Below are 19,495 nucleotides of genomic sequence, written 5' to 3'. Positions count from 1 at the left end.
TATTGATAGTGTGTTTTACATCTGAAATAAAATTAGCAAACACTTTCATTTAGTGAAGACACTGTATGTTAAAGTGAAAGCAGTATAAACTGTATAGTTAACAGCAACTAAATTCTATAATACAACATATCATCTTTTATTCTTGAAAATGCTAAGGCCAGGTATGGTGGCTCATACCTATAATGCCAGCACTTTCAGAGGCTGGGGTGGGAGAATTGCTTAATCCCAGGAGTTCAAGACCAGACTGGACAACACTGTGATACCCTGTCTCTACAAAAATTTAAAAAATAAATAATTAGCTAGGCATGGTGGCACAGACCTGTAGTCCCACCTACTCAGGAGTCTAAGGCAGGAGGATCGCTTGACCCCAGGAGTTTGAGGCTGCAGTGAGCTATGATCTTGGCACTGCGCTCTAGCCTGAGCAACAAAGCAAGACCCTATCTCAAAAAAGAGGAAAGAAAAGAAAAGTAAAGAAAGGAAAAGAAAAGAGAAAGAGAGAGAGAGAAAGAGAAAAAGAAAGAAGAAGAGAGGAAGGAGAGGGAGGGAGGGAGGGAGGGAAAGAAAATGCTAAGAGAGTGAATTTTAACTGATATTCCCCACAAAAATCATAAATGTATGAGGTAATGCTTGTGTTAAATAGCTAGATTTCACCATTCCACAGTGTACATATACTGGAAAACTTCATGTTGTACAGGATAAATACATACATTTTTATGTCAATTTAAAGAAATAAACATGAGAAAAAAACAAATTTTATATCTACCATTATCATTCATGTCTTGTTAACTAGGGAAGAGTTACGCTATCCCTTAAGACTTGAATTTCATTTGAGGGCTTATTAGTTAATGTCTGCACATTCCTGGAACAGTTAATAATAACAGACCAAGGGCTAGGAACAATGGAAAACAATTAATGAAAAAGCCTACACAGCATAAATGAATGTCTTTCTACTGACAGGCATCCTGGCAATGTCCTCCTATCTACTCAGATTGAAGAACTCACATCTCTCCAGAGCCTTCGGCTGCCTCCCTAGGATGCTCCCTTCCCAGACCTATGTCAACATCTCCTTCTTCCAACCGCCTGCTCTTCTCATGATTGGCATCCCAGGGCTGGAGGCGGTTCATGGCTGGCTCGCCATCCCCTTCTCCTCCATGTACACTGTGGCCCTCCCTGGGAACTGCCTGATCCTCCTGGCTGTGAAGAGGAACCCCAGCCTGCACCAGCCCATGTGCTACTTCCTGTCCATGCTGGCGCTCCCCAAAGCGGGCCTCACCTTGTCCACACTGCCCATCACCTTGGCTGTGCTCTGGTTTGACCACCGGCTCATGGGCTTCAATGCCTGCCTGGTCCAGATGTTCTTCCTGCACTCCTCTGTGGTGGAGTCCTCAGTGCTCCTGGCCATATCCTTTGACCACTTTGTGGCCATCTCCAACCCCCTGCACTATGCAGCTGTCCTCACAAATAGTGTCATCATCAGGATTGGGCTGGCCATTGTGGCTCAAGTTACCTTGTGCCTCTTCCTGTGCCATTTCCGGTTAAGAGTCTAAATTTCTGCCCTGGTGATAACATCCCATCCCACTCGTTCTGTTTCCACCCTGATGTAATGAGGCGGGCCTGTGCGGACATCACGATCAATATATGCTATGGGGTCTACGTGGTTGTTTCTACAGGGGGCTTAGACTCGCTGCTCATCTTTCTGTCCTATACCTTCATCCTGCACACAGTCATGGGTCTGGCTGCTCCCAGGGAGCGCATCTGGGCCCTCAACACCTGCGTTTCCCACATTCCGGCTGTCTTTGTCTTCTTTATTCCAGGTATCACCGTGTCCATGATCCACCATTTTGGGAGGCACCTGCCCCACATTGTACATGCTCTTGTTACCTATGTGTACCTGGTGATGCCTTCTGTGCTCCACCCCATCATTTACAGTATGAAGTCCAAGCCCATCAGGGAGGCCATCCTCAGGATGCTGATGGGGAGAAGCCAAGGCTGATGAAATTACAAAATATTATAGGGTCTGGGTAACATTAAAGAGACTGCTATAGCCTTACAGAAACCTGTTAGACCCAGCTAGCACTGAAAATCCCTAATCTGTGCTAAGATAGTGGGAAGCCCATAAGGCTTATTTATGTTACAAATTTACGTTCAGATTTACTTTGTAAGAAAGTAGTGATGAGGATGAAAGACTGAGAAATAAATGAAATGTGTTCCTTTGTCTCTGAAAGCTCACAAACTTGTGCCAGGAGAAAGGCAAGTAAAGACACAGCCAGACTATAAACCAATAAGTGCCATAATAACGTTCCTCTCAAAAGATTGCTAGAGACTACAAATTGGTCATTGACAGAACATTCCTGGGAAAGTGTGGCAAGCTTCCACAAAGAAGAGAATAATTTTTATTTCACCTTGAAAAACTTAGAATTTTTCTAGGCTAAGTAGGAATTAAATAAGAAACAGAAAAATCTAAAAAAAAAAGAGCAACGTGAAAAAAAGACTCCACGTTTTGAAAAAGGAAAAGTGTTTGTGAAAAGGTTTGCATTCCTGTACTTCTTTATGTCTCTACCGCTTATGTCTTTATAGGCGTGGCTGCAGCATAGGGTAAGAAGAGGGAATGGTAGGGGATGAAGAAGTAGGTGACCAAATTGTATAGGACTGTGCATACTATGCTAAGTTGTTTGGTTTGTATCTAGTACCTAAAAATCATTATATTTTTACTATAAGTTAGTAGTATAAATTGCAGATTAGAAGTGTGTTGGACATATGAACAAAACTAGAACCAGAAAGACTAATCAGTTTAACCTCTTATCTGGCCTCAGTTTTCCCAGATACCTTTTACACTGCCTGGAACATTCTCATTCCCCCCATGCCTGTGTCTCATTTCAAATAAAGTATAAACCTAATTTCTCAGAAAATCCTGTCTCATTAATTCTCCTTTCCAGATTATTCAAGGTACTATGTTTGCTTCCTGCATATATACAATAGTTTGTCATTCAACTAGATGGTAAGCCCCGAGGGGGCCAACATATACTCAGTGCCTAGTACTGTTGGTGGAATAGCAGATACTCAATAATTATTTTGAAGATTTAATGATAAATTATTTTGAATAGGAGATAAGGCAATGAGTTGTTTAATTTAAGATGTAATTTGGAGATGTTTTCCTCTAGGGAGCTTTTGGTCCTTCAGAGAAAAGAATACATGTAAATAATTGTAAACATTTGTGAGAAGGTTTTCAACTACGTTGGGTAGACAAACTGGAAGTGTAAGAGATGCAATACTACTGACTGACTAAATTAAGTATTCTCTCTTGGTAAAGAAAAGTTCCCTATTTTCTCACCCTAGGAGGTCTCCTGGGCCTTTTTGTTGGAAGTGATGACCTTCACACCTCAGTGATATAAGTACTTTGGCTCCATAAAGGGTTCTTGTTGAAAAAAAGAAATGAAAAAGGGCTTTGGGGCATACAATACTAAGATTTGTTTACGTGTGTCTGCTGGAATGCACCTTCTTACAAGGTGAAGTTGTAAGGACATGTGTATCTTTCTCTTCACCTGTGCCACTACCCTTCCTACTACTGAAGAAGGAATTCATGCATTTTACAAGTACAAAGACAACTGAGAAATTTTTACTTTTTCCTTTAAAAGCTAAGTGTAGTGTATCCCCCCCGTAGTCTAAGTTAGAGAAGAATACTAACTCCCTGTTTTTCCTTCTGTGCTCAGCCAGCCTTATCTGTACTCACCAGTTTCACATTCCTTGAGGCTCAGCAAGTTCCTGCTTCACCTCCTTAGCACAGCTGCAGAGTTACAAGGTTGATACAGAAACATGGTTTCCCAAGGATGTAGAACATGTAGTATAGATAAATGTAAAAAACTGATCAACTGCCTTTGTTCTCGCTTCTGTAAGTATGCTTCCTGCATCACGTAACTCCTGACCACCGACTGCTTAAAAGGTGGCTCCTTTCTTTGTCCAGGACTCATACTTTCCTGGACACTAGTCCTACTGAGCCAGGTGACCACCTTTTAATAAAGTCCTTTCCTGAACTCACTCTGTTGGGTCTCTCCTATCTCTGATTGTCCCACAACACTAAGTGTGAGGTCAATTTCACAGGATCTCAGTATGTAGTGTCTGAATTGGGTAATTAAGATTTTATGTTACAGTGTTTAAGAACACAAGCTTAAGAGTCAGGAAAACAAACCTTACTCAAACTCCATCACAACTGTCTCATTTGTATCAGCGATCTGACTTGAAGCATTTTATTCTTCATGTATTAACAAATAGTTCTTTTATTTTTTCTTTAGTGACTCCTGTGAGCCAGACACTCTGTTACATGATGGACAAGAACACAATGCTACCAAAACCAGACTTGATCCTTGTGGAAGGAATACACATTAATTAAATATGTTTACAAAGAAATATAAATTTGCAATAGCATTAAGCAATATCCATTTAGGCTTTTCTTCCACCAGGAGACTGTGCACTCCATGAGGGAAGAATTTAAACCACTTTTTTCTCCATTGCATTCTCAGTGCTGGGTTCACACTTATTTTAATAGCACTAAGAATGTATTTGGTGACTACATTAGTTTCCCATTGCTGCAGAGAAAAAAAAAAGCAGCTTAAAACAATACCCATTTATTAGTTCATATTTTGAAGGTCAGAAGTATGGGTGAGCTTCTTAGCCTTATGAGAAGTATAGCTGGGTTCTCATAAGGCTAAAATTAGTTTCAGCGGACTGGGTTCTAATTTGGGAGCCTTGGGGAAGAAACTGCTTCCACATTCATTTTGGTTATTAACAGAATCCAGTTCCTTGAAGCCGTGCCACTGGGATCACTTTTCCATTGTTCTCCATTGGCCTCTCTCAGCTCCCTAGGCTGCCCACATTCCTTCTCCCGCACTCCTCCATCATCAAGCCAGCAACAGCACATCACATCCTTGCCATGCTCTGAATATCTCTGATTTCTTCTGTCACCAGCTAGAGAAATGTCTTGTTTTTAAGGTCTCATGTGATTAGATCAGGCCCACGAGGCTGTAATCTCCCTATATGAAGATCCAGTTGTGCAATACAGCATATAACACAATCCCAGAAGTGATATCTCATAATATTCAAAGGTTCTGGGAACCAGAGCAGGACATTTCTGTAGGGCCATTTTAGAATTCTGCCTATGAAAATGACTAAATAAGTGAATTAAGAATAGATGGTTCTGGCCAGGGGCGGTGGCTCACACCTGTAATCCCAGCATTTTGGGAAACCGAGGCAGATGGATCACGTGAGCTCAGGAGTTCAAGACTAGCCTGGAGAACATGGTGAAACCCTGTCTCGACTAAAAATAGAAAAAATTAGCTGGGCGTGGTGGCAGGCGCCTGTAATCCCAGTTACTGGGGAGCCTGAGGCAGGAGAATTGCTTGAATCCAGGAGGTGGAGGTTGCAGTGAGCCGAGATCACGCCATTGCACTCCAGCCTGGGCGACAGAGCGAGACTGCATCTCAAAAAAACAAACAAACAAAAAAGAATAGATGGTTTTATAAAAGTACACAATAAGGGTATCTTACCTGCCCTAAGGTGTAAGGAATGACTTTTCTCAAGAAATGATAATTAAGGGGAGGTCTGAATGTTAAAAAAATAATAACAATAACTGGGAAAGAATATTTAGGGGAAGGAGTATTAGGCATAAAAAACCATGTCTCCATAGAGCTTGTAGAAGGAGGAAGTATGGTGAAATCAAGGAATGAAACAAAAGGCAGTGGGACTGGAAGTCAGTGAGCAAGGAGCCGGTGGTTGAAGAGAAGACTGAAAATAGAAATGGGCTCAACCAAAAAGATGGGAAATATTAAGGGTATTTTAAGCAGAGGAGAGAGTGGTTTTGACATGAGCACATTTGCCTTTGGAAAGATGGTTTTACACTGTGTTGCAGAGAATAGATTGAATTAAAGCTATAATGCATGCAAATTTACCACTCATAAGGCTATCGAAATAGTCCAGATGAATTTATTGTGGCTTGGACTAGGGGAGTAGTGGTACAAATAAAGAGAAATATGGGATCAAAGTTATAAAAGCAGTAGAAATTATATAACTTTATTTGGAATTAAATATGAAGGTTAAGAGAAGAAAAAGAAAAGGCCAAGTTTCACTCCTAGGTTTGAGGCTTGCATGTCAGAATAAGTGGTGGTGAGATTAACTGATATATATGAAACATGAATGATGAATATAATTGCATAAAGAATATCATGAGTTTGATTTTTGGACACTTTGAGCTTGAAGCATCCAAATGGCTGGGTTACACAGGCCATTGGAGCTATATGCCTAGAGCTCTAGACTAACCCGATAGTCTAGTCTAAAGATACAAATTATGTCACTGATATACAAATGGCAAAGTGAGTGGTGTGTGTGTGTGTGTGTGTGTGTGTGTGTGTGTGTGTATGAATGCATAGGAATTAGAGGCCATTAACTCAAATTTTATAGACCAGCAACAAATACAAGCATTAATTGTGTAGGAATTAGAGGCCTGATTAGAGGCCCTTTTACACCATATTCTCTCACCAAGCAGAGTAGAATGTATGTGCAAAGAAACTGAGAAGTATGCAGAGATATAAGAAGAAAACCATGAGTGTGATGCCACAAAGGGCAAAGGAAGAAAATGTATCAAGAAAGAGAGTGGTCAACTGTGTTAAATGTTGTTGAGAAATCAGGGAAGATAAAAACTAAAACCTCAGACACACAGAGGTTCCTGATGATGTATAGTAAAAGTTCTTTGGTAGTTTGACCAAGGCCAAAACTAAACTGGAATAATGGAAGAGTTATATGAGAGATGTGTAAGTGACGGTAAGTTACAGATAACTTCTCTAAGAGATTTGGCTATTAACGGGAAGAGACAGAAGGAATATGAGTTCAGACAGATTTATACTGGTTGTTGTCATTGTTGCTTTTAATATGGAAAGGGACTTGAACATGATAAATGCTAGGAATGATTCATTTGAGAGAGTGAGGTTGAATATCTATGAGGGAGAAGAGACAATAATGTAAGTTTCCTAAGTAGTTGGGATGGAAGTGATCCAAAGCAAATTAATAGAAACCTGTATGAGACACCGCTTGATGTCATAATGGTTAATAAGGACTTTGTGATACTTATGCTAGCATAAGGAAATATTTCCTTCTTTGATAAATTTATACCTCTTATGTAGGTATAAATATACCTCTTATGTAAGCATATAGGATGAAGAGCAGACTTTTCTGAGCCCTTCAGTTTTCAGTTATTATTTCCTTTAGTTTTCAATCTATTTATTCAACAACTATGAAATTAGTGTTTTATTTACAAGGCTAGAATGCTTTAAGAACAACAAAATCATTTTCAGAGACTTGACACAATAGTACTTTATTTTTCACTTATCCAACTGCCTCGTACAAATACAAGTGGGAGTTGCAAATGACAGAGGTTTGGCTCTGCACAGTTTTTTCAGAAATCCAGGCTTCTGGTGATTTACTCTGTGTAACACATAGCTTCCCAAGTCACATTTAATGTCAACATGAAAGGCTGCACATGGGAGGGTTTTATGAGCCAGGTATAGAAATTGCACATGTCACTTCCACTCACATTGGAAGTAATGGCCAGAATTTAATAATACCCAACTCAAAGAAGGCTGGAAAATTGCCTGGCTATGTGTTCAGGACAGAAGGAATCAGGTTTGATGAAAAATAACCGGTGTCAAGCATAAGCACTATTATGTTCTAGGCACTTTGCTGGGGGATTCAATGATGAGCAAAGAGCAGTCAATGATGAACAGAGATGACATTCAATAATAAACAGTGCCCTCATGGGCTTACAGTCCAGCAGCAAATACAAGTATTAAATAGGCATTTCCAAATATGATATCCATTACAAAAGGGGATGAAAGCATGTTATAGGAATCCATATCAGGGAACCTGAGGATTGAAAAAGAAAATGAAACTTACCACATATATGATCACATGTTTTAGTATTTGTAATTTGAGTTTCTTGGTTAACACTGTTGTCATATCCTGTTGAAGATGAAACCTATTAACCCTTGGTAATAGCCCCTCAGAAGCAAAAATGCCTGATTCCCATGCCTAAGTCAGATTGCTTTCCTGGTCTCAAAGTCCCTGTTCCATACTGCACAAAGCCCCAAATAAAGCATGGTCCTGAAGATTCCCTCACTTTCCAGCTACGAGTCACACTCAAAAGGCCAATGTTATCTTCAAGACCTGCCATTCCATACTTCCCATCATAACTGGTGGCTCCCTAACCTCACTGCCTATCAGAATCACCTATGGAACTTTTAAAAATAAATAACTTGCTATAAGCCCTATGCAGACTTTCTGAATAAGAATCTTCCATAATGGTGAACCTAGAAATCACTTCTTCCAAGACACAGGTAATTGGCAATTGGACCAGGACAATAAGCAATAGCTAGTGGGATTAAAGCCATGAGTTCTGTTGCCAGGAAATTCCTAAATACAACACTGGATGAGTGAGAAGAAATTAAATACCTCCTCTAGAAAATGTAAGACTCTGGAAATCTCTAACCCACTACCCTGTTGGTCTCTCTAACAGTTCTTCCACATCATATGAGATTGGGCATGAAGTCTTTTTTTTTTAATTTTTATACTTGTATGACCCCATTTAATTCACTGATCCCCACTGAACATCAATTTTCCCATGGCTACAATGAGGGTACTAATAATATCTTTGCCTAATTAAAGGGTTGATAAGAAAATTAAATAGGAAAAACAGGGTCCATATGCTGTGAAAACTCTCAGAACAGTGTGTCAACTTTCATTAACGTAGGTAAATGTACTCTTTTCAAGGCTTTACTTCCAATCTTCCCCTTAAGTGCTAGTGTCCAGAGGAAAAATTATTTCTTCTCTGTAGAAGTCATTTTGAAGACAGCATTTTTCTGAGATCCAATGTGGTTGGGAGTTCTGAAGAGGAAGTTATAGTTTTAAGCTAGATTATCTCATTTTATTATATTCTGTGTTTATTTTCCTTTGCCGTGCTTAGGCCTTTGGCAAATGTTCTCTAGATGTACCATTCTTATCTCAGAATGCTGTAAACCATCAGTAGAAGCAGTTTAGATTTGGACTGCATGGTAAAATGAAAAGTAATAACCCTCCAACCACAACCTAGTCAGGGTATTAATAATTATATGTAGCAAGAAAACAAAGAAGAAAATAATATTGAAAAAATGGAGATTCCCCAACCAGTTTCATATTTGAAGGATCTGAGTTGTATTTTTATTAAGGAAATTTTTTTTCTGAATACTGTCTTCCAAAATGTTAACATTAAAATCTGAATCAGAGGACTCTGAATGGAAAAGAAGTTTGATCACTGACACCTAGGGCTCTGAAGCGTGTGTGGCCACATGGAAAAGTCGAAGGATGCGCTGTCGAATCTCCTTTGTCTTCACTCCATAGACAATTGGGTTGAGCACAGGAGGAACCAGCAGATAGATATTGGCCAAGATGACGGGCAGCGGAGAGTCACGCCGCTTGCTAAAGCGATGCACCATGGACAATCCAATGAAAGGTACATAGAATATGAACACAGCACACACATGAGAGACGCAAGTGCCAAATGCCTTGGCCTGGGCTTCACGTGTCAAGCCCAACACAGTCTTAAGAATAAGCAGATATGAGAAGGAGATGAGAAGTGAGTCCAGGCCAATGGCGGAGATGATGACGATAAGGCCATAGACGACATTGACCCGGATATCATCACAGGCCAGCTTCATGACATCTTGGTGTAGGCAGTAGGAATGGGAAAGGATATTGGAGCGGCAGAAGGGCAGCTGCTTGATGAAGACAGGAAGGGGTGCCATCAGTGCAGCCCCCCGCACCACAGCAGCCACACCAATTTTGGTGACACGAGGCAACGTAAGTACTGTGGCATGGCGCAGTGGGTGACAGATGGCCACATAGCGGTCAAAAGCCATGGCCAGCAGCACTGTGGATTCCATGCCAGATAAGGAGTGGATGGCAAACATCTGTAGCAGACAAGCATCAAACTGGATGGTAGTGGAATTGAACCAGAAGATGGCCAGCATTTTGGGCATGGATGAGGTGGAGATGAGGATGTCAATGCCTGAAAGCATGCAAAGAAATATATACATGGGCTCATGCAGGCTGTGCTCAGTCCGCACAATGTAGATGATTGTCAAGTTACCTAGCACAGCAATAAGGTAGAGGGAGCACAATGGGAAGGCCAACCAGAACTGAGCCTCTTCTAAACCAGGGAGGCCTATTAGGATGAAGTATGTAGCACTGGATTCATTGCCATTGGGATCCACCATCATGAAGAAGCTGAACTGTGACCAGCACCAGGCAGGTAGAGGCTGGAATGCAAAGATAAGCCACTGTCAGATCCATAAGCATCCCAATACCTAACACCTGACTCTATCCTGATGTACTGTTCTCTAACTCAAACTCTAAATCCATTCCTTATGCAAATTCTAATCATATTCTAAATGCAATCTCACATAATCTAACATAATTCAAGAACCAGACACAAATTCATCCAGTCCTACTTACTAACCCCATCTGTATTGTTAATCCTGACAGCAAGTGAAAGACTAAGACAAAAATTTTAAGCATATGCCAAACCATTTAGTTCTCCAAAGAAAGGCTACTGGCTGAATATAAAAGAATCTTAGGTGATAAAAATATCTCACCATTTCCTCTATCCTAGCTTACCTTTATGCTTCCCTATGCTTAATACTAACTGCAATTCTAAGCATATCATTAGACTATCTTTAAGAAAAAATTCCAGTCCAAGTGTAACAACACTAGTAGTAACAGATTAATACTGAAACCTAACCCCAGCATTAATCTAATGATCTCCCCAATTCTAGACTTAACCCTAACTTTAACATAACTTAATATTTGACCTTTTAATAACCATTTCAATCTTAAAGATCGAATTGATGATATTCAAGTCACAATTCATATTCTATTTTATTATGATAAACCGTAATCCAATAAAAAACTGACACTAAATTAATCCTGAACTCTAACTCTACATTACCTTCTTGTCCAAATGACCACCCAAAGCTTTACACTTGTCCAGACTACTCAGTTTATTTCAAATAAAGAATGATGGCTCTAGTGGATACCGTTCGTATCCCAGCCAGACCCCATTCACAAAGCCAATGTAACCATCTCCCATCTGCACTGAGCATTGAGTGCTAAGGGCTCACAGCTCCCCTTCTTTCCAGAGGATTGTCCTTGGTCAAATGGGAGGCACCTCACCCAGGAAGGTTACACTGTGCCCCCATGATGCACATCTAGAGGCCAGTGGCTGCCTGACATAAGGGGTACCAAAGGTGAGCCCCATTGCCTCTGGGTGCAACAAACACTTTGATGCAATTTGTACTTCAGAGCTTCCCAAGGAACCAGCCTGAGGCTTGTCTCCAGCTGAGACCACAGCCCTGCTTAGCTTTCTTCCCCTGCCCTACCAGGATTCCCTCCTTCTTCTTCTCATGGCCATGTACTCCCTCAATATGTCATTTGGACAAGAACCCCCACCTCAGGTTCTGCTTCTAGGAGACCCACCCAATCTAAGAAAGTGAGATTGATACAACTAGAATACTAACCCTGAGGGGTGATGGCATTAGAAGCACTGGAGGCATAATCAATCCTATAGCAGAATTCAGTCTGCAAACAAACTGAATCTGACTATAAAAATGATTTGATATTACTGAGGTGGAAAATGTCAGACTTGGGTCATCTCAGATTGTATGTGTCTGTTAAGAGTGAACTGATTCCCTCCCTCCCTCCCTTTCTTTCCTCCATCGACAAATATTCATGTGCTCCTACTATAGGGTAGCCCTTATCTTCAATGCTTGAAACCAGAAGTGTTTCCGATTTGGGATTTTTTTTTTTGAATATTTGCATTATACATACCCAGATCAGCATCCCTAATGCAAAAATCTGAAATTTGAAATGCTGCAGTGAGCATTCTCTTTGAGCATCATGTTGGTGCTCCAAAAGTTTCAGATTTTGGAGCATTTCAGATTTTGGATGTTTGGATTAGGGGTACTCAACCTGTATTTATTAGATCATGTGTATTGTAGTTTTTACATAGATTTGGCCCTTGAATGTTTGAGAGCTGGGATAGGGGTTTCTGCACTGGTTACCAGAAAGCAGCTGAGCATAAGTCAGAATTCATGGCCAGCATCAGAAGAGGTCCCATGGGCTCAGGGTGTGTCACAAATCTTTGTACCAGCATCAAGCGGTCACCCAGAGGTTTCCTCAGACCAGATAGAAATTAGTGGGAAAACAATGGGAGCATGAATAGTAGAACAGAGGGTGAGAGAGTTTAATTCAATCTGCTGGGAAGGGAAGTTTTAAGGCAGAGAAACCATATTTAAGCTAGAACTTCAGGCAAAGGGCCGAAGTCATCAATGTCCCTTCTCGCTGCTGCAGCTTCTCTGCAGCATGTGGCACCAGGAGCACTTTCCTCCTTCTTAGAGCTTCTCCCTCTCCTTTCTGCTGTTCCTCGGCTCTCTCTAATCACTAATTATTGGTTTCGTTTCTGGATCTTCACTCTCCTCTCCAAAATTGCATCTTCAGTGCTCTTCCTGTTCTATATTCTCTTCCTGGGCCATCTCATCCCCTTCAGTAAATCCATTTTTGTTATACAAACAATTGATCCCCAAACCTAGTTAATGAACCCTGAATTCTCTTTTGTAATCCAGGTTCATAATTCGGAAGACTTACTAAAAGGGTTCACCTAATTGTCTTTCAACTACATCAAACTCTCCATGTTCAAAAAACAAACTCTTTCAGAGGCAGTATTATATAGCCATTGAAACTATGATCTTTGAAATCAATCATGCATTCTAAACCCAGTCTAAAACCTCTAGAGCTGTATGATCTGGGGTAAATCATTTAACCTTTCTAAGCCTCAGCATCCTCATCATTAAAATGATTATAAGAGTCCCTGGCTAATAGGGGGTCAGTGTGAAGATTAAATGAGATGATAAATGTAAAGCACTTAACACAATACCTCACACATAGTAAGTATGCCAAAAATAATATCTGTTGCTGTTAACCATTTTCCTCCAGTGTTTCTTTTTTTCTGTTATGGTGGCGTGAACCATCATACAAGCCAGGTTCTCTGATCCTGACTGCCACGTCTCTAGGGTAACCTTCCTCATCCACAAAGTCCCAACAATCTAACCAGATGAAACCAGCTCGCTCCCTATTATTTTAAAAAATACCCTTGAAACTCCAAATTGATTCTAGAATAAAGACTAAACTTCTTATGACATGGCTAAAGATCTGACTTTCATCATCCGGGCCTGGGTTCCTCCCTCACCACTCCTCACCATGATCCCTATGATCTAGCCACATTGAAGTTCATGCTATTTCACAAACATAGCCTTGATTCCCATGACTCTGTGTCTTTCTGTCTTTTTTTACTTCTCATCCCCTTGTCAAGAAAAACTGTTCCTCCCAGATCTTCCTCCTTGACTTCCCACACTCATTGTTCACATCCTGGCTTACTGTCTCTCTCCTATACTATTTTTCCTAAGCCTTTTTTACCTAGGCATAATTAAATGCTTACTGTTCTGTGCTCAAAAAGAACATTATTTAGGTCTTTTTAAAGTATTTACCCTCTTGATAATAGTAACTATAATTATTGCTATATTTTCCCCTGAATTATGAGCTCCTGAACACCAGGAACCTTATTATATTTATTAATTGTTTAGTTAATGTTTTGGAAGATGAAAATGAGTTTTATCAACAGGAGAGTCTCTTAGTATACATCTAGTGAGGGTAACACAGCCAAGGGCATAGTTAAGACTGCCTGTTATCTGTACTAGAGAGACTTTTGAGAAGGATGAGATGATGTTTGGAAGGTCAGTGCAGAGTAATTTTAATTTTGTAAAAATAATCTTTAGGGTCAAACAGAAAAGTCCTTTCTTACCAAAGGAGCTGGAGGGCCAGAGAAATATGTATTAAAAAAAACAGAGCAGCTGCAAGGTCTTGGTCCTAATAAATGCAAAGTGGACATGCAGCACAATTTGTGCCTAAGAGCAGGATAGACCTAAGATCCCTCACCTGGAAACACTGGCAAGAAGGTTCTGGTACTCCAGAGGGTCAGATATCCATGCTATCCATCAGTTTTACATAAACAGATATGGCAGAGCAGGTTGATACTCAGGATTTAAAAAATGTGCTGTCTTAGGAAACACACTGGGAAAGAACTCTGGCTGGGCATATGCAACACTATTGCCTCTGAAGGTAGAGTGATGTGGTGAGCAGAATCCTGGGGCTTAGAACACAAGTCTTGGCGCTAAATAAATGCAGTGAATAATAATAACTGCATAGTGCTGCTGTGAAATTGTATGAGATAAGGCATGTCTAAAGAAATTGTAAAAACCAAATCGGAGTACACATAGTGCATTGTTTTCCACAAAAATGGGCAACAAGGTCTCTGAAAATGTATGAAATTTCATATACTTTTCAATTCCCCAAATTTGTCACCTTAATCACCACTTGGCCTGTATGTACACACTCATACACACACATATTTACTAGCAGTCAATTTCTCACAATAGCAAGACTGGGCACTGATACAAAGATACCAGAAATCAACAAAAGGAAGATTTAGCTGGCCTGGGAAGGAGGTGCCTAGGCAGTATAAAATGGGCAGCTATCGCTGGGGCTAAAATATCAGCCTGGACCCCAGAAGACTACAGCAGGAGAGAAATGAATGGATGGAGAAGGAGCCAGCCAGAGAGCTCAAGTGCCACCGTTCAGACTGGCCAGCCCTGAAGCGTCCCAATGTTCAACAGTCCCTCCACGAGACAGGCAGAGTGACCAGATGACTTCCAGGTGGCCTTCCAGCTTGAGCAGCTGTTAGTAATTAAAACTCAGTGAGATGGTTTTGAGCTCTGGAGGAACTTGGAACTAAATTATTTTGAAAATAAGGCACAATCAAGAAAAAATAAACTAACAAAGCATTTTTTTTTTAGAAAGCTCACACACTGCTCTAATCCCCAAGGAATAGCCCTGTGCTGAGATTTTCTGTGAATAAGTTGAACTATCTTAGCAAGTTCCAGGAATGTTTCTTCAGGAACTATGAAGGACATCTTAACCTTTTCTCAGGAATAGGGGAACAGGAGCTCCCAGCTGTAAAGACTGGAAATCCACGTGGAGGCCTTCAGTCCTCTCCCTTCCTTCCCCCGGGCTTCAGAACTCTGTCTCCTAATGCCAGCCCAGCCCCCCTCACCAGCCCATCCTCACATTCTTCCCTAGAACTCCTTCTCATAGACCCGTGAAAAAGCAGTCAGAGAGATAAACCAGACAGCAGGAGAGAAATGAAGGGATGGAGAGGAAGCCAGCCAGAGGGCCCAAGTGCCACCCTTCAGACTGGCCAGCCCTGAAGCATCCCAATGTTCCATAGTCCCTCCACAAGACAGGCAGAGGGACAGAAGACTTCCAGATGGCCTTCCAGCTTGAGCAGCTGTTAGTAATTAGAACTTAGTGAGATGGTACTCCAAAGGTGTACCATTAGCCTATTAGCCCTATCTCTTCTGACCCAAGAGAACAATGAGGTCACCTTTAACCCTGATTTTGTTGTTTTTATAATATGAACATAGATTATTGAGCACCTACAAAATGACAGAAACTATACAGTGCCATCTGTATAAATATTATCTCTAATCTGGGAACAGCTCTGCAGAAGGTGAGGGTGTTTAATTCAATCTGCTGGGAGGGAAAGTTTAAGGCAGAGAAACCGATTTAACCTAGAACTTCAGGCAAAGGGGCCAAAGTCATCAACATCCCTTCTTGCTGCACCATGGATCCTCTCTATATTATGGGTGAATACTATGGATCCTTTCTATATTATGGGTGAGAAAACTGAGGCTCCAAGACATTAAATAACATAACCAAAGTTTAACAGGTGACTGGTAATGCAGAAACTTAACCTAGATAGTCTCATACCAAGGCCTATACACTTTCCCTCATTCTAGGCTGCCTTTAATTTTGCTGCACCTTCTGAAAGCTAATAAAATCCACCCAAAAGGCAAGGTATAAGAAGGGCTTGGTAAGTAGCACAGCTGCCCTGGGTATACTCTTAGAAGGGAAACCAAGAGGGCTGCAAAGAAGACTCTTCTGCACTGGAACTTGGGACACTCACCTCCTCTTTCAGCCCTAACTCCAAAGGCTGTGAGGTGGGTAGGCCCCACAATGGAGATTAAAAGGCTTGTCCTCTACCACGTATTTCCTTATTATCTAATTAGAGCCTCTCATCCACCTGTCAAGCAGATATCATTAATCCCATTTGACAGATAAGGATGTTGAGGGTTAGTTAGAGCCCTTAGTGCTAAATCCATTGCTTTACAGTAGGCCAAGCTACTGCCCTACCCCTCCCCATGTCTCCTTAAGAAGGGACTTCGCTTTGTAAGCACTATTTCAATATTAATCTCTCAGGAATCCAACACTGATGACCCATGAGTCCAGGGGCCCCTCTCGGACTCAGGACACATGACCAGCTCTCCCCACTTAGGTTCAGTGTGGAAGGAGAACCAGGAGGAGATTCATTGTCAGTGTCACTATCTGGGCTAAACACACAGAATGTTTCATGCCCAGAGCAATGGAGTGAGGGCCTCTGGCGCTGCTGTCAGCCTCTGGGAATATTTAGAAAAGAATGTCCCTGGAGAGAAGCCCAGACATACCTGGGAGCCTCTGGCTCCTCATCCCAGGCACAGAGAGGGAAGGCAGACCTCAGGGGCAATGCTGTGGCTGGCAAGGACTGGAGGAGCTTGTCACTTGATTCTTAAATAGAGTCCCTTCCCTAACACTTAGTGAGGGTAGTAGCCCCAGCATGACTTCCACTCAAATTATCTGCATCCACTGTGCCCCACACCTTGCTTGTATTTAATAAAGCAGATGAACCCTTGCAAGGTGTTGGTCACTCTTCTTAAAATGGCCAAGATGAAAATGGAAAGATGAGAGAGAGCAACTTCTAACTCCCAAAAAGCCAAGTGAGCCCTCACCCCACCCTGGTCACTCAAGTCAGCCTGACCACCTAAAATCACCCCTAGGCAGAGTTCCTAGGTTTCAGGTCTCTGCTCCTCCACTTCCTGAGTAGGACCAGATAAGTGTTCTAAAGATCTGCAAAGCTGCACCTAGTTACCAGTTCCCTGTAGAGCTATTCTGGCTGCAAGCAAATGTAAGGCAAGGGAAATGCCCAAAGTGGGATTTTGATCAGTGTACTCATTTTTTCAATAATCATTGACGGACTTCTGTGCCAGACTCCACTGAGTACCAGAGATATCGTTCCAGCCTTCCAAGGATGGGGAGAAATTGAGACAAATATGCAGCCATCACAGCACATTATGATAAATTCTGGGACAAGGGGAAGCAAAAGGGCCTCAGAAGCAAAGACAACAATAGCTCAGCAAGCTTTTTAGGTTCCAAGGGCTTCCCTGAGGAGGTGACATTTAAGCCATGGCAGTGGCGGGACCTGCTGCAGGCAGGTAATGGGGCAGTGACACAGGCAGTTAATGGGGTGGGGCACAGCAGCATTCGGTTAGACAACAAAAACATATTGAGTGTCAAAAACTGGAGATGAAACAGTAGATAAATCAGACAAGATGATGGCTTTTATGGAGCTCATATAACACGAGGCCAATAATGAGAAGTAAACAAATAAAATTTCAGTTGAAGATAAGGGCACGAAAGAAAGAGTGATAGGACAGAGGAAGATGGGTGCAGGACACTCATACTGGAGACAGGGGTCAGAAAAAGCCTCTCTTAAGGATGTGACATGTGATGAGAAAACACCAGCCATTCTAAGATCCAGGGAAAGTGCATTCCAACTGTGGGAGACAGCAAGAGAAAAGCGTCCCCCAGCAAGAATGATATTGGGGGATTCATGGAACAAAAGGAAGGTCAAGGTGGCCAGAGCATCAAGAGCACAACAGAGTTTGAGAAGATGAGGCGGGAGGAAGGCAAGGACCTCATCAGGTAACAGGGTCTTGCAGGGTATGGCAAGGAGCTTTGGTTTAATTCTGAGTGACTTGGGGGAATTTCAGCAACAGAACTTATCTAGTTTGTTTTTAAAAATACATCCTGGCTAATACAAAGAGCCAGAGAGAAAGAGAACAGACCTTGTTTGGAAAGCTGAAAGTGACTTAGTGTAGCTAGGGTAAAGAGTACAAGGCAAGGGGTGTTGCCGTGTGGACACTAATCTACTTTTTAAATGGGCTGAAGACTGAATCCTGATCCTAGACACAGACCAAGCTGAGATCGGAGCCCCAGGAAGATTACTAAGTCCCAGTCTCAGCCACAGCCTGACTCCTGATGTACAGCATACAGTGAAACCAACCTCACTCAGAGCCCCACTTCCACCCCAGCTGCAGCCTCATCCCCAGTCATAGACTGAGCTTCAACCACGTTCACCCTGTTCACACACCAAACCCCGACCCAACCCCAATGCAGCCCCAGTCTAACCCCAGCCCAGCCTGTCCTCTGTCCTCTGTCCTCATTCACATCAGCCCCTGCCAGCCTCCAGATGGGCATACTAGTAAACTAATCACTGAAAAACTGCTTGAAAACTACCCTTAGGCTACCTCCAGCACCCACATGCTTTCTGTTCAGCACACAAACCTAGAGATCACTAAGGCTGCCTGTCCTTTGAGTCAGGGGCTTCCTACACATCTCCCACTTCTGGTTCTTCACAGCCTGGCTTCTCATGCACTCAGCAAGTCTAACAGGAGACCCCTAGCTGCAAGTAACCCATGCACCTGGACATGCCCCTGGCCTCCTGCACTCACCTCAACCGTATGGAAGGAATGTGTGACCCCCTTTGTCCAGTCTTCCTCCAGAAGAGGTCTGGCAGGCTGCACTGAAATACAGCCTCTCTGTCTCCGCCTACTCCCTTGGACCTCCCTGGTCAGGGTTATTTATTCTCTGCCTCACCCTCTCCCTCCTTCTGCTTCTTCCTGCAGGGTGGGGCAGAATGCTGTCCAAAGGGTACATCAGCAGGTACCCCTCACTAGCCCACTGTGGTTCTGGACTGCTTCTCAGCTTCCGTGCCCTGGGAGGATATGCCTGGGGGTATGGGGAGGAGAGGCAATGGGGAAAGGGATCTCTAGAGTCCTCCCCTGATGGGCTGCTGGGATCCTCATGCCAACTCCCAATGTGAAGGATAGATAGGGAAAGTGAGTAGAAAAAAGCTAGAAGAAACTCATTAGTGTAGTCTTCGTGACGGTCTTTATCCAAGTCTCTTCTCAGGTTTATCAAACTCAAACAGGAGAATGGCAAAGGAAGTTTGCAGAGACACTCCACGGTTAAGTGTCAGCCCATTTCCATCCTGAAGTGTTCTTTCTGTCCTCCCTTCTCTCATTTGGGGGACACTGTTTAGGTCCTTGCTAAGCGTGGAATTCACTGGGTCCATCCTCCTTTTCCCAAAGCCCTAGGGCTACATCTTTTTTTGTCTCCCAGGCTCTGGTCCCTGTGTCTGGATAACTTATAACCA

General features: G+C 42.3%; 1 protein-coding gene and 1 pseudogene across 1 annotated transcript, besides 1 other annotated feature; one reads left to right on the top strand and one right to left on the bottom strand.

The window, feature by feature from the left end:
- Window positions 1,093-1,991, top strand: OR51A9P (olfactory receptor family 51 subfamily A member 9 pseudogene; annotated as a pseudogene).
- Window positions 3,536-4,081: a transcriptional cis regulatory region, noted in NCBI's record as "candidate enhancer chr11.762 targeted for multiplex CRISPR interference". NCBI's record gives its function as "positively regulates HBB gene expression in K562 cells {active_cell/tissue: K562}" and the evidence as "EXISTENCE:mutant phenotype evidence [ECO:0000015][PMID:30612741]".
- On the bottom strand, window positions 7,334-18,840 carry OR51E1 (olfactory receptor family 51 subfamily E member 1). The gene is made up of 2 exons (NM_152430.4): window positions 18,792-18,840; window positions 7,334-10,334 (listed from the first exon to the last, which is right to left on the bottom strand). The coding sequence occupies exon 2, from the start codon at window positions 10,293-10,295 to the stop codon at window positions 9,339-9,341; it is 957 nt and encodes a 318-aa protein (NP_689643.2). The 5' UTR covers window positions 10,296-10,334; window positions 18,792-18,840; the 3' UTR covers window positions 7,334-9,338.
- Window positions 18,841-19,495: the final 655 nt, after the last annotated feature.

Source organism: Homo sapiens, chromosome 11 (assembly GCF_000001405.40).
Source record: "Homo sapiens chromosome 11, GRCh38.p14 Primary Assembly".
NCBI lineage: Eukaryota > Metazoa > Chordata > Mammalia > Primates > Hominidae > Homo > Homo sapiens.
This window is presented reverse-complemented; position numbering and strand designations above follow the sequence as displayed.

Excerpts from the sequence above, each read along its gene's own strand:
- OR51E1 (NM_152430.4), bottom strand. The coding sequence starts at position 10,295 with ATGATGGTGGATCCCAATGGCAATGAATCCAGTGCTACATACTTCATC.